This window comes from Homo sapiens, chromosome 3 (genome assembly GCF_000001405.40).
Source record: "Homo sapiens chromosome 3, GRCh38.p14 Primary Assembly".
In the NCBI taxonomy this organism is placed as follows: domain Eukaryota; kingdom Metazoa; phylum Chordata; class Mammalia; order Primates; family Hominidae; genus Homo; species Homo sapiens.
Genome location: NC_000003.12, coordinates 73,000,405 through 73,022,543, shown reverse-complemented (window position 1 = coordinate 73,022,543; position 22,139 = coordinate 73,000,405). Strand labels below are relative to the sequence as shown.

At 41.4% G+C, this 22,139-nt stretch overlaps 1 protein-coding gene across 5 annotated transcripts in view; it reads right to left on the bottom strand.

Moving 5' to 3' along the window:
- The window catches only part of PPP4R2 (protein phosphatase 4 regulatory subunit 2), a 72,456-nt gene that overhangs the window by 46,655 nt on the left and 3,662 nt on the right, over positions 1-22,139 (bottom strand). Inside the window, exons 3-4 of one of the 5 annotated variants that reach the window (NM_001318028.2) lie at positions 7,561-7,629; positions 6,410-6,722 (exon numbers count right to left, since the gene is read on the bottom strand). The exons of the other annotated variants lie outside the window; for them this stretch is intronic. Of the exons in view, the coding sequence (NP_001304957.1) occupies positions 6,698-6,722; positions 7,561-7,629 (94 nt within the window). The 3' untranslated portion in view covers positions 6,410-6,697. Of the gene's footprint in view, positions 1-6,409; positions 6,723-7,560; positions 7,630-22,139 lie in introns of those variants that run through there. 5 annotated transcript variants of the gene reach the window in all.

The window sequence follows — 22,139 nt, the reverse complement described above, 5'->3', positions numbered from 1 at the left end:
TTAAATTTCAATTTTATTCCCATCTAATCTAACCAAGCTCTCTCACATTATGAACTAAGCACTTCACACATTATGAGGCTTCTATCACTTGACACTGTAACTTTCACCTTGTAACTAAAACTTTTCAATGCATAACAAAAGTAATAATTGTTTGTTGACCTTCTATATACCTCATCAGTCTTAGGCCCCTAACCTAAGCTTATTTAAAAATCAACTGAAAAAAATTACTCTCTTAAAGGGCTACATTTATAAAAGATTTCCTCCAGGCCTAATTTTTAAAATGAAGTTAATGTATTTTGTACAGGCCAATGCTGATAAAAGCAATAAGCAAAATATTAAAAGAAACAGGCTGGGCGCAGTGGTTCGTGCCTGTAATCACAGCACTTTAGGAGGCCAAGGAGAGCAAACCACTTGAAGTCAGGAGTTCGAGACCAGCCTGGCCAACATGGTGAAACTCCATCTCCACCAAAAATACAAAAACTACCCAGAAGTGGTGGCAGGCACCTCTAGACCCAGCTACTTGGGAACCTAAGGCAGGAGAATCACTTGAACCTGGGAAGCGGAGGCTACAGTGAGCCAAGACTGTGCCACTGCACTCCAACCTGAACAACAGAGCGAGATTGTTTCAAAAAAAAAAAAAAAATATATATATATGCATATATACACACACACACACACACACACACACACACACATATAGAAATGTAATACTTCACTGTTAAAGTAATTTTTAAAATTACTACCAGATACTGTGGTTTGCTCACCACAGCACCCGCAATACCTAGCGCAGTACTTGGAACAGAATATATACTCAATAAATATTTGTTGACTTAAGTGATACCTTAATAAACATGAGAAGGAATGTGAGCAAACAATGTAAAATCAGGAATTACACAAATACTGTGATAAACAGAGCTTCCCCTTTGAGAAAATTCACACCAGTATTTTTTTCCTAATTTATGTTGAAAGTATCTAACCTGTCACATGGTATACATTTAATAAATTCCAGGCTGGGCGTGATGGCTTATGCTTGTAATCCTAACACTCTGGAGTCAGAGGTGGGAGGAAGGCTTCAGCCCAGGAATTTGAGACCAGCCTGGGCAAAAGGGCAAAACCCTATCTCCACAAAAAAATATATAAAAATTAGCCAGGCATGGTGTTGCAAATCTGTAGTCCCAGCTACTCAGGAGGCTGAGGCGGGAGGATCACCTGAGCCAGGGAGATTGAGGCTACAGTGAGTAGTGATCTTGCCACTGCACCCCCAGCCTGGGTGAAACAGTAAGATCCTGTTACAAAAAAAAAAAAAAAAATTTTTTTTTAATGAAATAAAATGAATCCAAGCCCCTTCTCCTTCCTACTCTTTTTAAGTGAGCTATATGAGTTCACTTAAAACATTTACTACACACAACTTAGTTAACATAATTTTCAAAAACATATCTGCATAAAGCAATCCATACCTGAATTTAACCAGTAAACATTAAGCAACATAGACTAATGCACAAATCTTTGACAAGTGTTACATACCAAATGTGTGCCCTTACCCGCCTGCCCCACACCACTAAAATTCATGTGTTGAAACCCACCTCCTAATATGATAGTACTTGGAGCCCAAGCCTTTAGGAGGAGCCCTCATAATCGGATTAGGACCCTTATAAGAAGACACCTGAGAACTTATACTCTCTCCACCATGTGAGGACACACCAATTATGCCAGAAACACCAGGCACGGTAGATCACACCTATAATCCCAGCACTTTAGGAGGCCAAGGTGAGAGGACTGTTTCAGCACAAGAGCTCAAGACCAGCCTGGGCAACACAGCAACACCCTGTCTCTACAAAAAAAGTTTTTTAACTTTTTTTTTTTTTTTTTTTAAAGAGACAGGGTCTCACTCTGTGGCCCAGGCTGGAGTGCAGTGGTGCCATCTTGGCCCCATGCATCCCTGACCTCCCAGGCTCAAGTGATCCTCCCACCTCAGCCTCCTGAGTAGCTGAGACTACAGGCACACACCACCACACCCAGCTATATTTTTGCATTTCTTTGTAGTGACAGGGTTTCAGCATGTTATGTTACCCAGGCTGGTCTCAAAACTCCTGGGCTCAAGCGATCCGCCTGACTCTGCCTCCCAAAGTGTTGGGATTACAGGCGTGAGCCACCCACCACAACTGGCCAAAATAATGTTTTTAAAATATAAGCCAGGCGTGGGGATGTGTGCTTGTAGTCTCAGCTACTCAGGAGGCTGAGGACAGGAGGACTGCTTGAGCCTAGGACTACAGTGAGCTATTGTCCCACCACTACACTCCAACCTGGGTGATGGAACAAGACCCTGTCTCAAAAACAAATGAAACAAAAAAACAGGGCCAGGAAGAAAGCCTTACCACATAACCTGACTATGCTGGCACACTTATCTTAGACTGCCAGCCTCCAAAACCATGAGGAAATAAATTTCTATTAAGTCACCAAGTCAATGGTATTTTGTTATAGCATCCCAAGCTAAGACAGTAAATTTGTATTTTGAAGAAATCGTGACATATGATGCAGAAGGAAATAATGATAAAACAACCAAATTATGCCCTCTAGAAGAAGCCTACACCTTGGCAGAATAATATTTATAACAAAATACCCCTAATATAGAGTGGAAAATAAGACAAAATTGTAAATGGCAAGGCTATTATATTCTAGGAAAATCTGGGAAGCTCTCAGACAAGAGCCAAGTGGACAAATAGACAGAATCTGGACATATGGAAATTGGGAGAGAAGAGAGAGAGCAAGTATACTTCACTCAGAATACACTTTCACCCACTCACACTCATGACTCCAATCCCAATAATAATTTCTATTATTTTCTAAAGTTACAAATAATAGCTTCTAGGGGCCGGGCATGGTTGCTCACACCTGTAATCCCAGCACTTTGGGAAGCCAAAGGGAGCAGATCATCTGAGGTCAGGAGTTCGAGACCAGCCTAGCCAACATGGCAAAACCCCGTCTCTACTAAAAATACAAAAATTAGCCGGGTGTGGTGGCACATGCCTATAATCCCAGCTACTAGGGAGGCTGAGGCAGGAGAATCACTTGAACCCAGGAGGAGGAGGTTGCAGTGAGCTGAGATCACACCACTGCACTCCAGCCTGGGCAACAGAGTAAGACTCCGTCCCAAAAATAAATAAATAAATAAAATAATAGTTCCTTTGTAGATGAAGACAGTGTTCTGTTTTTCATCTACAGTGATGTATCTTTTAATGACGAGGGTATGTTCTGAGAAATGTGTCATCAGATGATTCCAATGTGTGAACATCACAGAGTGCACTTACACAAACCCACATGGTATAGTCTACTATACACCTAGACTATATGGTATATGGCTTATTGCTCCTAGCCTGCAAACCTGTAATGGTAAGTATTCGTATGTCTGAACATAGGTAAAATAGAAAAAGTACAGTAAAAATACGGCATTATACTATTATAGGACCACCATCATATATGTGGTCCATCGATGACTAAAATGTCATTATATGGTACATATCTCTATTCATTTATCTAACCCAGCTCCTACTGTGTGACACATTCTGAGTAACATAAGTTCAGCCCCCTCAAAACTTACAGAACCACAAGTAGAAACAGACTAGTAAGCAAACAGCTATAACAGAAAATGCAATTGATACATGTCAGAAATATGGCAGTTTTTATTGAGAAAAGGAGATCCAAGAAAACTTCTCAGTAAATAATATATATTTGAATGGGGGCCATCTGAACAGTCTTAAAAGACAAGTTGAAGGTATCCCATAAGGAAGAACATATGAGGCAATTAACAACAAAGTGCTATGAGAATTTAACACCAGCACAGTAGAACACTGCATATTCAGTGAACTTCAAGTAATGTGAAAAAGTTACAAATGGTGGAAAGAGAAGACTGGAAAGGTAAGAAGAACCTAGGTGAAGAAAAAATTTTAAAGACCAAGACACTACATGGGAGGCTGGGGTGGGAGAACTGCTTGTGCCCGGGTGGTTGAGGCTGCCATGAGCCATGGACACATCACTGCACTCCAGCCTGGGCAACAGAGCAAGACCCTGTTTCGGATACTAACATAACATAAATAACATAACATAACATAACATAACATAACATAACATAACATAACGACTATGACAGCAGAGTCATCCCTTGGTATACTTTAGGAACTGGTTCCAAGACTCCTGTGTATACCAAAATCTGCACATACTTAAATCCCGCTGTCAACCCTGTAGAACCCACGAATACAAAAAAAGCAGTCCATTGTGTAGGCAGGTTTCACACATCCTACAAATATTGTACTTTCAATCTATGTTTAAGTTGACCCCCACAGTTGAAACCTGTGTTGTGTAAGGGTCAAGTGTATATCTGCCTGGCTAAAAGTATAAGAAAGATAGGATAAAAATATAAGAAATATATTAACTAGGAATGATGTACAAAGGACATCAAAGAAACAAAATAGAGTGACCATACCTCCTAGTTTCCCCAAAACCAACCTGGTCTGTATCTGCACGCCCAGTGTCCCAGCCAGTTTACCATCTCTACCATACAGTAACAAAATATTGTTAATAGTTGCATTAAAACATGCTGGTATGAGCCTGGCCAACATGGTGAAACCCTGTCTCTACTAAAAATACAAAAATTAGCCGGGTGTGGTGGTGGTCGCCTGTAATCCCAGCTACACGGAAGGCTGAAGCAGGGAGAATTGCTAGAACCCAGGAGGTGGAGGTTATAGTAAGCCAAGACTGAGCCACTACACTCCAGCCTGGGCGACAGAGCAAGACTCCATCTCAAAAAAAAAAAGCTGGTATGGATTTAGTAGACTTCTCCACACTTCCAGCTTCTTCCAAAGTTCTTCCAACTTTGTCAAGAGTTTCCAAAATGCATATATATGATGCATACATAAGGAACAGAGTCCTCACTTTAACATACACTTAATTCTGAAAGATGACAGAAATAACCAATCTCTTTCTCTCTCACTCTTTCTAGACTCAATATATCTAACTCTTCCCTTTCAAGGACAGCATGCAGGGGACCCACCAGTGGCTAGGGCAGCTAGCTCCTTTGGGTGCTAATTGGGGGTGGGGGAAGTGGTCAGCACTGCTGTCACTGAAGACTGGTTGGTGTATCAGCAGTGGCCTGTGACCTGGACTGTAAAATACACACAGCTTCCAGGCTACAACAGGCAGAATTTATGGGAAACTAAAGGTTAGGTATACCTCTATGGTTACCTGTGGTTAATGAAGCCATGAGGCTACTAATCCATCAAGAAAGTGAGGAATTGAAGGCTCTCTCCCCACAGATATGAAGAATGACCTGGCTGGGCACAGTGGCTGATGTCTGTAATCCCAGCACTTTGTGAGGCTGAGGTGGTAAATAGCTTGTGCCCAGAGCTTGGGACCAGCCTAAGCAACATAGGCCATATCCCATTCTCTATTAATCCCAGCACTGGGAGGCCAAAGCAAGCAGATCACTTGAGCTCAGGAGTTCAGGACCAGCCTGGGCAACATGACAAAACCCTATCTGTACTAAAAATACAAAAATTAGCTAGATGTGGTGACACATGCCTGTAATCCCAGCTACTCGGGTGGCTGAAGCATGAAAATCTCTTGAACCCGGGAGGTGGAGGTTTCAGTGGGAGGTGGAGGTTTCAGTGAGCCACTGAACTCCAGCCTGGGCGACAGAGTGAGACTCTGTATTTAAAAAAAAAAAAAAAAAAAAAAGAAACAATGAACCAGTAAAGCCAGTTAACAGAATGGGTGACAGAGTGAGACTCTGTATTAAAAAAAAAAAATAATAAAAATAAACAATGAACCAATAAAGCTAGTTAACAGACACCATATTTAAATAAACACAAAAACATCTAGGACATTCATATTATTTATTTCTCAAAATTATACTTTACCGTCTCAAATAGAATTCTGATAGGTAAAACTAAGACTTGGTTAAAGACCTTAATTGGTGGTCTTACCATTTTTTTAAATTTCAGAGGTCCTAGAAGAAAACTTCAAGACACTTTTAAAATCTTCAGGTATGCTTTCTCCTATAAAGCAGTCTCTCAACCTTGACACTACTGACATTTGGGGCCAGACAATTCTTCATTGCTGGGGAGTGTCCTAAGCAATATAGGATGTTTGGAGGCATCCCTGCCCTCTACCCCACTAGATGCCGGCAGCATGCCCCCAAACTGTAGCAACCAAAAACATCTCTAGACATTGTCAGCCCTGGTTTAGAACCACTGCTATAAGGCATTGAAAAAAAAAAGTGAACGAGAATATTATAGAATTAAAGGAAAATGTGGAAAAAAAACTCCCACATCTCAAAGAATCTCACACATCTTCAAATAATTTCAGATCTAATTTATTGTCAAGGGTTATTATTAGCTTAATTAAACAGCATTGGTCAAATTAAATGTTTTATTTATATTTAGATTAAAATATGTCATTTAAAACTATGTTTCAGATAGTAGAGGCCAGGCATGGTGGCTCACACCTGTATTCCCAGCACTTTGGGAGGCCGAAGCAGGCAGATACTTGAGGTCAGGAGTTCGAGACCAGCCTGGATAACATGGTGAAACCCTGTCTCTACTCAAAAAAACAGGGCGGGTGCAGTAGTTCACGTCTGTAATCCCAGCACTTTGGGAGGCCAAAGCAGGTAGATCACGAGGTCAGGAGATCGAGACCGTCCTGGCTAACATGGTGAAACCCCGTCTCTACTAAACACACAAAAAAATTAATCGGGCATGGTGGCGGGAGCCTGTAGTCCCAGCTACTCAGGAGGATAAGGCAGGACAATGGCATGAACCCAGGGGGTGGAGCTTGCAGTGAGCCGAGATGGCGCCACTGCACTCCAGTCTGGGCGACACAGCGAAACTCCGTCTCAAAAAAAAAAAAAAAAGCTGGGCATGGTGGCACACGCCTGTAGTGCCAGCTAATCGAGAGGCTGAGGTAGAAGAATCGCTCGAACCAGGGAGGCAGAGGTTGCAGTGAGCCGAGATCATGCCACTGCACTCCAGCCTGGGCGACAGAGCGAGACCCTAAAAAAAAAAAAAAAAAGACAGTAGGCTGGGCACGGTGGCTCATGCCTGTAATCCCAACTTTGGGAGGCCAACGCGGGTGGATTACTTGAGGCCAGGAGTTCAAGACCAGCATGGCCAACATGGCAAAACCCTGTCTCTACTAAAAATGTAAAAATCAGCTGGGCATGATACACACCTGTAATCCCAGCTACTCAGGAGGCTGAGGCAGGAGAACTGCTTGAACCAGGGAGGCAGAGGTGGCAGTGAGCTGAGATCAAGTCACTGCACTCCACCCTGGGCAACAGAGAGAGACTCTGTCTCAAAAAAAGATAGCAGAGAGCAATCTTAGATCTTGTGGGTAGTGTTTTCATTCCTTCTGTTTTATAGGACTTTATGACATTTCTGAGATCTCAGAGTGCTCTCAGTATTTATTTTCTTCCTATATCCTAAATGGCTTGCTTTGGCATGTTTATTAATAAACAGGCCAGGAGTATATTTCGAGGAAAAAAAATTACGACTGGGTGAGGCTGCTTACATCTGCAATCCCCGCAGTTTGGGAAGTTGAGGCAGGTGGATCACTTGAGGCCAGGGTTTCGAGGCCAGCCTGGGCAACACAGCAAGACCCCATCTCATTAAAATGAATAAATAAATACACAAGGATTCCAACTAATAAATGATAAAGCAATGCTAGATTTAGAATATTATCACTTTCAAATCTCCAATGAAACAAATGATACAGGCAATTTTTTTAGTCTAGCCAAAAAATCTGAAAAAGGAACAACTCTATCAATGAGGCATCAGATAGAAAATTACAAGTGGCAATAAAAAAAAACTATAAGATGTTAGCACAAAATAAAACAATGCAAATTAAATAAAGCATTTTTCACCTACCAGATTTTCAGATTTAAAAGCCTAATAATGGGCTCTGCACAATGGCTCATGCCTGTAATCCCAGCACTTTGGGAGGCCAAGGTGGGAGAATTGCTTGAGTTCAGCAATTCTCAGTTGAGACCAGCCTGGGCAACCAGCCTGAGCAAGACCCCATCTCTACAAAAAAATTAATAAATTAGCTGGGTGTGGTGGTGCATACCTGTAGTCCTAGCTACTGGGGAAGCTCAGGTGGGAAAATCACTTGAGCCTAGGAGTTTGAGGTTGCAGTAAGCTATGATCATGCCACTGCACTCCAGCCTGGGCCAGAGTGAGACCCGGTCTCAAAAATAAATATAAAAATAAAAATAATTTTAAAATCTGAATAATGCTTGGTGCTAACATGGATATAGAGATAACTTTCATATACTGCTAGTAGAAGCACATACTGAACAAGTTTTTTGGAAAGCCAGCTGGCAGTATCTGTCAAACATAGTAACGTACATAATCATGAACCCATAAATCCCACTCTTACATCTGTGCCAGTATATTAACTTAAGCACTGTTTGAATTGGTTGGTAACTGTAAACTGCCCAAAAAACCATCAAAGAAGACAGGTTAAATAAAGAACACCCAAAACAATAAAATATTATGCAGCCCATGAAGACAACGAGGTAAATTTTTGTGTTTTGGTAAGATATCCAAATACAAGCCCGGGCGCGGTGGTTCATGCCTGAAATCCCAGCATTTTGGGAGGCCAAGGCAGGCGGATCAACTGGGATCAAGAGTTTGAGACCAGCCTGGCCAACATGGCAAAACCCTGTCTCTACTAAAAATACAAAAAAATTAGCTGGGCACGGTGGCACGTGCCCGTAATCCCACCTACTCGGGAGGCTGAGGCAGAAAAATTGCTTGAAACCAGGAGGTGGAGGCTGCAGTGAGCTGAGGTTGTGCCACTGCACTCCTGCCTAGGCAACAGAGCAAGACTGTCTCAAAAAAAAAAAAGAAAAAGAAAAAAGGTATCTAAATAAAGAAAATAACAAAAGGCAAACTGAAGTTTCATGGCATTTAACAAGAGGATTAACACACATACACTTATGTGTACAGAACATTCTGTTAAGAATATACAAGAAATAGGTAACAGTATAGTTTGATTTTTTTTCTTACATTTTTGTAAAATGAGACAGAAACATCTAAAGCAGTATCAATTTCAATCATCTTTGCACATGAGTTTTCCACATTTATAGGCACAAGAATTACCTAATTTGTGTGATCCATTACACTCAAAATGCAGTTATTCTCACCAAATTCCTCCTTAACCAAAATGAAGATGTAAATAGAAAAAGCATATATCAAGATATTCTCCATATTTTAAATCCAAGTTTTTAAAGCTACTTTTAAAATTTTACCTGTTCATCTAACCATCTAATATTTTGTCAGAAATAATTTTTAAAGTAACCACATGCTGGCTATGGCACTGATTTTAGCCATATCCTACCAAAAGCAACATAGCAAAACCAAAGACCACACACAATATTTACAAGAAAACTGAATGACAACTTAACAAGGTATCATCCCCAAAAACTCTCTACTATGAACAAGCAGGCAGGGCAAGACTAGAAAAGTATCAGTATCTACACAAGAGGAAAAGAAACACGACTTGTCTTGCAATGACCCTACAAACATGAAAATCTCAAATTCACCACTAGTATTCACTGGTAAGGGTGGTTTAAAAAAAAAAAAAAAAAAGCCTACATTCTACCTACATTTAAGATTGCTCCTTACAGCAAGACACACTCTAGTATGCAAAAGCCCTAGAAAAGGTGGACCAGTCTCCAGTTAACAAATCTCTTTGAAACAAAAACGGCCACCACCTCAAAAGCCACCCTGGAAATCACCATAGACAACAGTATCCCTAATAAAACAATCTCTAAAAATATTAAATTCCCTTTAGTTGCACAATTTTAAATAGAAATACAGTGCGCCCTCTGTATCTACGAGTTCCACATTCGCGAATCCAACCAACCTCAGATTGAAAATATTTGAGAAAGGGCTGGGCGCAGTGGCTCACGCCTGTAGCCCCAGCACTTTGGAGGGCAGAGGTGGGTGGATCATGAGGTCAGGAGATCAAGACCATCCTGGCTAACATGGTGAAACACAGTCTTTACTAAAAATATTTAAAAAATTATCCAGGTGTGGTGGCAGGCGCTCGTAGTCCCAGCTAAGCGGGAGGCTGAGGCAGGAGAATGGCGTGAACCCGGAAGCCAGAGGTTGCAGTGAGCTGAGATTGCGCCGCTGCACTCCAGCCTGGGTGACAGAGCAAGACTCCGTCTCAAAAAAAAAGAAGGAGAAAATATTTGAGAAAAATTGTACTGAAATGTGGAGACATTTCTCGTCATTACTTCCTAAACAATATAAGGTATAAAAACTATTTACGTATCATTTATATTGTATTACGTATTATAAGTAATCTAGAGATGCACCAAGGATGTGCAAAGGTTATATGCAAATATTATACCACTTTACATCAGGGACTGAGCATCCACAGATTTTATGTCCAAAGGAGGTCCTGGAACCAATCACCCACATATAACAAGGGACAACCGTACTTTGCCATTAGTTGATAGAAAGCTACCTCACTCTCCCCCTTCCTCCCAGATATACACAATAGTGCAAAAATTACAAATGTTAAGACCTCGCACTTTCCTTAAATTTCAAATTCTATAGCATATATTTTTCTCCAGTTTCATCACCTACAAATGGGAATATTAGAACTACCTCCCAATATTGGTGTGGTAAGATTTTTACTTAACTGAGAATAACAAATCCAAGATGCATATATTAAATAGAAAGCTTAGAGTCACTTCAAGTTAAAATACACGTATCAGTCTCATCACCTGTATGTTTCAAATTTATGTCTCTACAAAATTACAATTACTTAAAAGTTTTTTTCCTTGAGGTGACTGGAAAATAGTCAAAATTACAAATGTTAAGGGTACATCAGTCATCTATCTTATTGACCCACACTCAACCTTCTCATAATTGCCCCAAAATACCCCACAGTACATGAGGTCAAGCTTAGGTAAGCCACTTGAAAAATCTCAGAAATTACAGAAATAACGATTATAAGAGTCCTAACAAAAGCAAAAAGCTCCAAATTTTTTTTTTTCTGAGACACTGTCTCACCCTTTCGCCCAAGCTGGAGTGTGGTGGTGCAATCTTGGCTCACTGCAACCTCTGCCTCCCGCGTTCCAGCGATTCTCCTGCCTCAGCCTCCCGAGCAGCTGCGACTAAAAGCGCCTGCCACCATGCCCAGCTAATTTTTTCTATTTTCAGTAGAGGCAGGGTTTCACCATGTTAGCCAGGCTAGTCTCGAACTCCTGACCTCAGATGATCCACCCGCCTCGGCCTCCCAAAGTGCTGCGATTACAGGCGTGAGCCACCGCACCTGGCCTGAAAGCTCCGCATTCTAACAGTGGTTTTGAAAAGATTCTGGCACTGTTACAGTAGAGGAGGAGGATGTAAGACAACTGAACAAGGGGCAAATGGTATATATTAATAAAATGCAAATTACAAGAGGATTTGGAGCCAGAATGCCTGAGTATAAAACCCAGTTCCATTACTTAGCTGTACAACCTTGGACAAATTATTTAAGCCTTCTAAGACTCAACAGCCTCATTTTTAAAAAAGAGAAAGACCTACTTCAGATAGTAGTTGTAAAGACTAAATCAGGTTATGCATATGAAATATTTGATAATGTCTGACACAAAATAAATGTTCATTAAATATTTGCCATTTAGGAATAAAAGAAAGGCTGAGCCCAGTGGCTCATGCCTGTAATCCCAGCACTCTGAGAGGCCGAGGCAGGTGGATCATCTGAGGTCAGGAGTTGAAGGCCAGCCTGGCCAACATGGTGTACTAAAAATACAAAAATTAGCGGTGATGGGCGCCTGTAATCCCAGCTACTTAGGAGGCTGAGGCAAGAGAATCGCTCGAAACCGGGAGGCAGAGGCTGCAGTGAGCTGAGACTGCACCACTGCACTCCAGCCTGGGAGACAGAGTGAGACTCTGTCTTAAAAAAAAAAAAGAGAGCGAGAGAGACAAGTAAATTATACTGAAAGAAGTAGAGTTTTAACCATGACTGTCTTCTAAGCAACGGTCAAACAAATTACAAGCATAGAGACAAGAGAGATACTATGACACTTATAGCTGCAAATGGCTCTTCACTCTACAGAGCCTCTCAATAAAGCTTTTTATTTTTCTAGCCAGGCATGGTGGCACATGCCTCTGGCAGCTACTGCGGGCGGGGGCTGAGGCAGGAGGATCATTTAAGCCCGGGAGGTCAAGGCTGCAGTGGGCCATGATGGCACCACTGTACTCCAGCCTGGATGACAGAGCAAGACCTTGTCTCAAAAAAAACAAAACAAAAAAGTTTTCTATTTTTTTGCGTTAAGTGGTTAACTGATAACGAAAAAGCCCTACTTCCATGCCACATTTTAAAAAATACCACTAAGGGCATTATTACTACTGTTTCATATCATTACTAATTTGAGACTTGAATTAGCTATTATTCACTTTATAGTCAATGGTGTGAGTTCTCAAAAATATTTAATATTCAGGTAATAGGTTACCCAAGGTATCCGATAGGGATGGAATGTGCAAGTGGTTACATGTAGATTTCCACACACATGTATTACAAGCAATGCAAAACCTGGGCAGCCTGACACATCAACAGGACTGCTCATGGGTGAAACCAGAGAGAAGACAAGCAAACGAACACATCAGAGAGCTGGTGAAAATGAAGATCTAAAATACATTTCTCAACATATAATGTTTTCCATAGGCACATGTAATTAAACAGTAAACACTCTCAATTATCTACACTGTTAGTTTTAGTCAGCGATTCAGTTTTTTGCTATGGATCCTGAATAACAAACTTCTACATCAAAAAGGGAAAAGACCTTTAGTCTACAAGCAGAGAGAAAGCAAGGTGCTCTGTGGACTATAAATTCCTTATCTTCTTACTAATGAGATCTGAAGCTTACTAATGATGTTTTGAAGCAACATGAAGTTTTTGACAGGTATCCAGTAATGTCATATACAGTAATAGTCCATAAACATTATGATTCCATACATTCACTGGCAGACACTAAGTGGATCTGTAGATACAGATACACATGTGCATACAGGTAAAACTAACAGATATTTTAAGAACCTCTTTGTGACTTTAAAGAGTTTAGTAGTAGTGGTGACTGCTCTTTCTCATGCAATATAGACAACTGCTTCTCAACTTTTTAATGTCTCCACACCATTCACCAATTACTAATTACTCCCGAACAGTTAACATCTCATATTATTATCAGACACTTTAACACTAAGCACTATCACCATGTCCCATTCCCCACTCGTAGTCGCTACTGCTACAATACCACCCCCAGACAAACAGTGCTGCAGCACAGAGATTCCTCTAAGCTTTCAAGCTGGAAGGAACCTTGGAGATCATCTATTACAAGCCTCTCATTTAGTATCTGAGGAAACTGTGACCAACAGTAACTTAAGTGATGAAAATCACTAAAAGTAGAATAATTAGTTACAGTAACTCCCACTTACAGGACACTCACTATCTGCCTGTCGCTGCATTAAGCACCTTATAAACTCATTTAATCCCCACAACATCCCTTTAAATAGACCTACTTTATTACCTATATTTACACACCTGGAAATTAAGGGAGAGAAGTCAGCCTTGGTCATATAGTAACTACGTGATGAAATTCAGAATTCAAACCTAAATCTGTTTTGTGCTCTCCTGACTGTCCAATCAGAGTTCATTCCACAAGATTAAGTACTTTAGACTCGTTTCTTTAGCCATATTCATTCTATTTATGCCCAGCATACAGATAATTTTTACTGTCCCCCAAGTTTTCTTATCTATAGCTATATACTTTATTATTCAAGTCCTCACAACAGTTGAAACAACTAAAGGTACAAACCCCATTTTTTTAAGTGAGGAAACAAGCTCACAAATAATTTGTCCAAAGTCTCACCAAGAAGTAGAAAAGCTAAGTTTGGAACTCAAGCAATGTTCTCTCCAAGACATGACATTACTCCGCCATCACCACATGCTAACTCACATGCAATTAGGAAACTAGCCAACGACTAGTAAAAACTAAACCGACCATGGAAAACATGAGCTTATTTGGGCACCCGAAAGAATGAAGATAAGAAAAATTAACTCTACTCAGAAAGTTGGCGTGCCTAACTTCCAGTGTACCATTCAGGTTTACATGATGTGATGAAAAAGAAAACTATAATTTTATTCATGTTCATATCTTAATAACTTCACTCACTGGAATATACAGAAGCAAAAGGGCATCTATTCAACTTATATTTACTGAAAATCTATTGTGCTTCCTCTGTGTACCACTGTGATGACAGCACATGAGAGGACTTTAGGTGACACATGGATAATTCATATTTTAGTAATTTTAGTATTTATAGATTGTAAAGTGACTCAGAAAACGTAACCACTATACCAAGCCAATGGCTTCAGATCTTATTTCCCAAAGCAAGATTAAGGGAAAAAAATTAACACAGTGGTTATGGGAGGGGGGGTGGGGGCTGGGGGTTGAGGGTTTGACCTTTATCTGTAATAGTCTTTCCACTTAAAAAAAATTTTGAGGGAAAAAAACTCAGCTGACCTGAAAAAAAGCATTAAAGAAGTAATTGTACAGATGTTACAAGAATGTGGAAAAATTCATAAAGGTAGTATTTGGCTGACATTTTAGAAATAATTTTCAAAGTGTTTCAAGAAATACTACGTTAGACAAAATAAAACAAAATTCCCTCTTAAGAAACCCCATAGAGGCCGGGCGCGGTGGCTCACACCTGTTATCCCAGCACTTCGGGAAGCCGAGACGGGTCGATCACTTGAGGTCAAGAGTTCGAGACCAGCCTGGCCAACATGGTGAAACCCCATCTCTACTAAAAATACAAAAATTAACTGGGCGTGGTGGTGCGCACCTGTAGTTCCAGCTACTTGGGAGGCTGAGGCAGGAGAATCGCTTGAACCTGGGAGCTTGAACCCGGGAGCCAGAGGTTCAAATGAGCCAAGACACCACTGTACTCCAGCCTGGGTGACAGAGTGAGACTCTGTCTCACAAAAAAAAACAAAAAACAAAAAACAGAAAAAAACAGAAAAGAAAAAGATAAAAGAAACCTCACAAAAGGATCTAACAGCCTCATGGGCTTAAGGAGAATTTCTTTGTAATAATGCGGGTCTTAGTTGTCGATAACTACTTTTAAACCACCTTTTATTTTCTTACTGTTTTGTCAAAATACCTGAACACAAAGAACTTCAAACTGTAGAGGGGGAAAAAAAAGCAGAATCAAAATATGCATTATCAACAACATAACAACGAGTATTATTATCAAGCATTTACTCTGCATACCAAGCACTGTGCTGAGTTTCCTATGTATTGCCTGCCCACACTTCAAGGTACTATTATTATCTCATTTTATAAATGAGGGAAGTGACTTAACAGGGATGTAAAAGTTTTCCTAAAAAGCAGAATTCTAAGAAAGTGGCAGTGGTGCTACAGTTTTTCATCTCTCTAAAACCTTATGGCTGACCAAACTAGAGAGCAGAACCAAAAACCAGTGGACCATATTTACAACAAAACTAGCTGACACAGTATTCCCACAGACTCAAAAAGTGGATGAGGAAAAACTGATAGTCACATGACCTCAACATTACTGGGATCTGTGACAGAGAGAAGTCAAGGTGTATTTCAAAGGCCTAGGAACAGGAGAATCATAAAATAGCCAACAGGTACTCATTGGAAATCACTGCAGACCAATTTGAGAACAGCAGCTGAAACTGAGATGGATTTTGCCAACTCTAGCAATGAGTGAATAGACTGCTCTGAGTTCGAAAAGACGAAGCAGGTCTTGCTCACTTGAGCTCTTGAAAGTGACCCAACAGTGCTCCAATCTAGAGGTAAGCCCCACAATGAGGAGAAAGAGTCAAGAGAAATGAAGACAAGGTTCAAAAAAAAGCAGAAGTGGAGAACACAGCCTGGAATTTCAGAATGCAAACTGCCGTGTTCTTAAAACACTTCACAAAACCAACGAGAGTGCTCCATGTAGTTAGAAAAGCTACTCTGGGCCAAGTGTGGTGGCTCACGCCTGTAATCCCAGCACTTTGGGAGGCCGAGGCAGGTGGATTACGAGGTCAGGAGTCAGCCTGGCCCATGTGGTAAAACCCCGTCTCTACTAAAAATACAAAAACTAGCCAGGCATGGTGGCGCGCGCCTGTGGCCCCAGCTACCAGGGAGGCTGAGACGGAAGAATAGCTTGAACCTGGAGGCAGAGGTTGCAGTGAGCCGAGATCATACCACTGTATTCCAGCCTGGGCAACAGGGCGACACTCCATCTCAAAAAAAAAAAAAAAAAAAAAAAAAAATTGTGGCATATTCATACGATGCATCTACTCAGAAATAAAAAGAAATACAAACTATGTTGAATAGAAGAAGCCAAAGAATACATACTGTATGGTTCCATTTACATAAAATTCTAGAACTCACAAACTAATCTACATTGACAAAAAGTTGCTTGGAGGGAAGGCAGCACACACAGGGAGGGAAGATTACAATGGGGCATGAGCAAACTTCTGGGAGTAATGAATGAACATGTTCACAATCTTGATTGTTGTGATGGTTTCCTGAGTGTAGATATGAAAACTTAGCAACCTGTACATTTCGAATAAATACAGTGTATTGTATGTCAATTATACCTCAATAACACTGATTTTTTTTTTTTTGCAGACAGAGTTTCACTCTTGTTGCCCAGACTGGAGTGCAACGACGTGAGCTCGGCTCACTGTAACCTCTGCCTCCCGGGATCAGGTGATTCTCCCGAGTAGCTGGGATTACAAGCATGCACCGCACCCAGCAAATTTTGTATTTTTAGTAGAGATGGGGTTTCTCCATGTTGGTCAGGCTGGTCTTGAACTCCCGACCTCAGGTGATCCGCCGGCCTCAGCCTCCCAAACTGCTGGGATTACAGGCGTGAGCCACCGCACCCGGCCCGTAACACTGCTTTTTAAAAAAGGACTCAAAAGAAGAATTCAAGACAAAATGATAAGTACTGAAGATATGCAAAGATGCAGCAATATAGTCTCCCTCCCCTCCCCAACAAAAAAACCAAAGACAACAATTCACTTTCTTGAAATATTTAATATTTTTTAAAAATTTAAAAATTCATATTGAAAGACTACACCACCAGTGTGTAGATAAGTGGATAAAAAAAAAAAAAAAGACCACACCATATACCTGAGTACAATGACTCCAAAATATCCAACATTGATTTTCAAAATGCTTTTAAAGATCTAGTCTATAAAAACCACTGTATTTTGGCCGGGCGCAGTGGCTCACACCTGTAATCCTGACACTTTGGGAGGCGAAGGCGGGGAGATCACGAGGTCAAGAGTTTGAGACCAGCCTGGCCAATATGGTGAAACCCCGTCTCTACTAAACATACAAAAATTAGCCAGGCATAGTGGTGGGCACCTGTAATGCCAGCTACTGGGAGGCGGAGATTGCGGTTAGCGGAGATGGCGCCACTGCACTCCAGCTTGGGCAACAGAGCAAGACTCCGACTCAAAACACACACACACACACACACACACACACACACACACACACACACACGACTCCGACTCAAAACACACAAACACACACACATGACTCCGACTCAAAACACACACACACAAACAAACAAACAAACACACACACACACACACACACACACCCCACACTGTATTTTAAAGAAAAAAATCTTTTAGGAAGGTAGGCAAAAAGATTGGGCAGTTTATAAGGTAAAAAAAATTATCATCAGATGTTAACAGCTGGCCAGGCATGGTGACACCTCTGTAATCCCTGCACTTTAAGAGGCCAACAAAGTGGGCAGATCACTTAAGCTCGGGAGTTCAAGCTCAGGAGACCAGCCTAAAAACATGGTGAAACCCCATCTCTACAGAAAACACAAAAATTAGCCAGGTGTGGTGGCATATACCTGTAGTCCCAGCTACCGGGAAGGATGAGGTGGGAAGACAGAGTTTACAGTGAACCAAGATTGCATCACTGCACTCCAACCGGGGCAAAAGAGCAAGACTCTGTCTCAAAAATAAATAGATTTTAACAGTTTTACTGGGGGGAAACAATAGAATTAACAAACTTAAGACACTCAAGGATAGAAAATGTGAACCAAAGATTTTACTTCCAGCCAAAGTGACCTTCAAGATTAAAGGGCACATGCCAGGCACGGTGGCTCATGCCTATAATTCCAGCTCTTAGGGAGGCACAGGCGGGAGGATAGCCTGAGCCCAGGAGTTTGAGACCTGCCTGGGCAATATAGCGAGACCCCATGCTCAACAAAAAGGGGAAATAAAAAGGGGGGCAAAAAAAAAAAAAGAATAAAAGGCACAGACAACATACAAGACATACACATAAGAACTCCAGGCCAGGCGCAGTGGCTCATGCCTGTAATCCCAACACTTTGGGAGGCCGAGACAGGCAGATCACTTGAAGTCAGGAAATTGAGACCAACCTGGCCAACACGATGAAACCCCATCTCTACTAAAAATACAAAAGTTAGGCCAGGCACAGTGGCTCACGCCTGTAATCCCAGCACTTTGGGAGGCCAAGACAGGCAGATCACCTGAGGTCAGGAGTTCGAGACCAGCCCAGCCATCACAGAGAAACCCCGTCTCAACTGAAAATACAAAAAAGTAGCCGGGCGTGGTGGCATGCACCTGTAATCCCAGATACTCAGGAGGCTGTGGCAGAAAAATCGCTTGAACCCAGGAGGTGGAGGTTGTAGTGAGTCAAGATCGCACCACTGCACTCCAGCCTGGGCAACAGAGCAAGACTCTGTCTCAAAAAAAAACAAAACAAAAAAAAACTCCAGAAATATTGTTTCAATTAGCCGCTTTTCAATAATCTATTAAAGAATAAGCTTCATTCAGACAACCAAACTGACGAGAGACAGAGAGAATACAATGACAATGACATAAGGACTGGTTGTAGGCATGAGATATATACCTACTGTAAAACTAAGATTGACAGTTAAAAGGGAAAGTCAGCCGGGGCAGTGACTATGCCCGTAATCCCAGCACCTTTGGAGGCAAAGGCAGGGGGAGGATCACTTGAGGCCAGGAGTTCGAGAACAGCCTGTTCAACACAGCGAAACCCCGTCTCTACTAAAAACACAAAAATTAGCCAGGCAATGGTGGCACGTGCCAGTAACCCCAGCTACTCAGGAGGCTGAGGCACAAGAATCACTTGAACCCAAGAGGCAGAGGTTGCGGTGAGCTGTGATCGCACCACTGCACTCCAGCCTGGGCAACAGAGTGAGACTCTGTCTCAAAAAAAAAAAACAAAAGGGAAAGTTACGTAATAGCAATATGCTCAGACAAGGGAGACAGAAAAACTTTTAAATGGGGGCTAGAAATAGAGAATATGTAAAAAAAAAAAAATTTAACATTCCTAGTAATTATATTGGTGGCAGTAATATTCGCATTATTATTTTAGACTTTCTGATGTGTAATGTTGGTTACAATCAGTAATTACAAGACATCCTGATTCTATCATACCCTGCCTGTGTTCTTGAGAGAACCAGGATTCCTGGTATGCAAAAAGTTATAAAAACCCTGGGCCAGGCGCAGTGGTTCACACCTGTAATCCCAGCACTTTGGGAGGCCAAGGTGGATGGATCACGAGGTCAGGAGATCGAGACCATCCTGGCTAACACAGTGAAACCCCATCTCTACTAAAAATACAAAAAAATTAGCCAGGCGTGGTGGCGCATGCCTGTAATCCCAGCTACTCACGAGGCTGAGGCAGGAAAATCGCTTGAACCCAGGAGGCAGAGGTTGTAGCGAGCCGAGATCGCGCCACTGCACTCCAGCCTGGGTGACAGAGCGAGACTCCGTCTCAAAAAAAAAAAAAAAAAAAAAAAAAGAAAAGAAAAGAAAAGAAAAGAAAAGAAAAATCCCTGTGCACTCCCATGTTTACTGCAGCACTATTCACAACAGCCAAAATATGAAACCAGCTCAGTGCAATGGCTCATGCTTTGTAATCTTTGCACTCTGGGAGGATTGCTTAAGGCCAGGAGTTGGAGATCAGCCTAGGCAACATAGCAAGACTTTGTCTCTACAAAAAAAATTATAAATTAGCCAGGCATCGTGGCATGTACCCTATCTGTAAGTCCTAGCTATTCAGGAGGCTGAGGCAAGAGGATCCCTTGAGCCTAAGAGTTTGAGGTTGCAGTGAGCTATGACTGAGTTGCTGCACTAAAGCCTGGGCAACAGCAAGACCTTGCCTCAAAAATACATTTTTTTAAAACAAGGAACCAACCTGAGTTCCCATCAATGGAAAAGAAAATGTGGTATATTATTCAGCAATAAAAAAGAATTAGATCCTGTCATTTGCAACAACATGGATGGAACTATAGGCCATTATGTTAAGTGAAGTTAAGTCAAGCACAGAAAGACAAACATCACGTTTTCACATATGTGGGAGCTACAACAGTGGATCTCACAAAGGTAAGAGTCTAAAGACTGATGATTACTAGAGACTGAGCAAGGAACAGGAGAGATAAAAGGGGAGAAAAAAGAATATACATGTATTTATTACCACCAAACTGTACACTTAAAATGCTAAAGATGGGGCCGGGGGCGATGGTTCACGCCTGTAATCCCAGCAGTTTGGGAGGCCAAGGCAGGTGGATCACGAGGTCAAGAGATAGAGATCATCCTGGCCAACATGGTGAAACCCTGTCTCTACTAAAAACACAATAATTAGTTGTGTGTGCCTGTAGTCCCAGCTACTCAGGAGGCTGAGGCAGGAGAATCGCTTGAACTCAGGAGGTGGGGGATGAAGTGAGCCGAGATCGCGCCACTACGATCCAGTGTGGCATAGGGCGAGACTCCATCTCAAAAAAATAAAAAAAAAGAAGAAAGAAAACTAAAATGGTAAAGATGGTAAATTACATAAGTGTGCAAGTGTGCATGTGTGTGTTTGAGACAAGGTCTTACTCTGTTGCCCAGACTGGAGTGCTGTGGCACAATCACGGCTCACTGCAGCCTCAACCTCCCAGGCTCAGGTGATCCTCCTACCTCCTCCTCCCAAGTAGCTGGGAGTAGCTGGGACTACAGGCGCATGCCACCACGTTAGGCTAATTTTTTATATTTTTTGTAAAGACGGGTTTCACCATGTTGCCCAGGCTGGTCTCGAACTCCTGGGCTCAAGTGACCCTGGGCCACCTGCCTCAGCCTCTCAAAGTTCTGGGATTACAGACATGAATCACTGCACCTGGCCAGTAAATTATATAAGTATATTTTACCTAAACAAAAAAAAAACTTTTTAAAACGCTGTATTCCTCATTCTGAATTGCAAGTCTTAGTATTTTATGTAGCTGAGTAATAATAAACTTCTCTACCACCAAGATTGTAGTCTTGAAATGCCATTTCCCACTAAAAGGCAGGTCTTCTTGAGAAATATCTGATTCACATCTGGGGCAGGAAATGAGCTTGGAACATATTCTTATACCAGAGAATAAGGATACTATCAAAAACTACTAAGGTCACGTCAAAAGGACTCTGGAGCCAACTGGAAAAGGCTACCACTGACCAAATGGGAGACAACTTGACCGTCAAAAAGGATAATAATTGCAACTCAAACCCATCAAATACCTTTAAATCCATGACTGAAATGCATCAAGTGTTTAAATTCATGATTGAAACACACCATATGTTCCTGTTTATTCAGCGCATACTATATATTTAGCATGATGTCAGAAACTACATTACCTTCAGAAGAGTGTATTCTTTCCAACATAAAAACAATTTTTTGAAGTGGCCAGAAACAATTCACCTGGGGATTAATTATTTTAGTTATATACATATATAGTTTCCCTCTTCACATCAATTTAGTATGTCTTGGCATCTTTCCTAACTTCCTACATCAGATGTTTACAGGTAATTTTAATAGACTAAGAAGTAAAAATGTTCAAATTTTTCCTACGGCCTCCTCCATTTTTCCTACAACCTCCTCCATTGTAAAAGCCTATACTTACAATTCTAAAACCTCTCTAAAGCTAAAAGCAAGTGTCAAATCAATTGTCTTTTGAAAAGAAAACTAAGCAGCCTGGGGGGTCACTGATTTTGATCCATAAACAGTTTCACATACT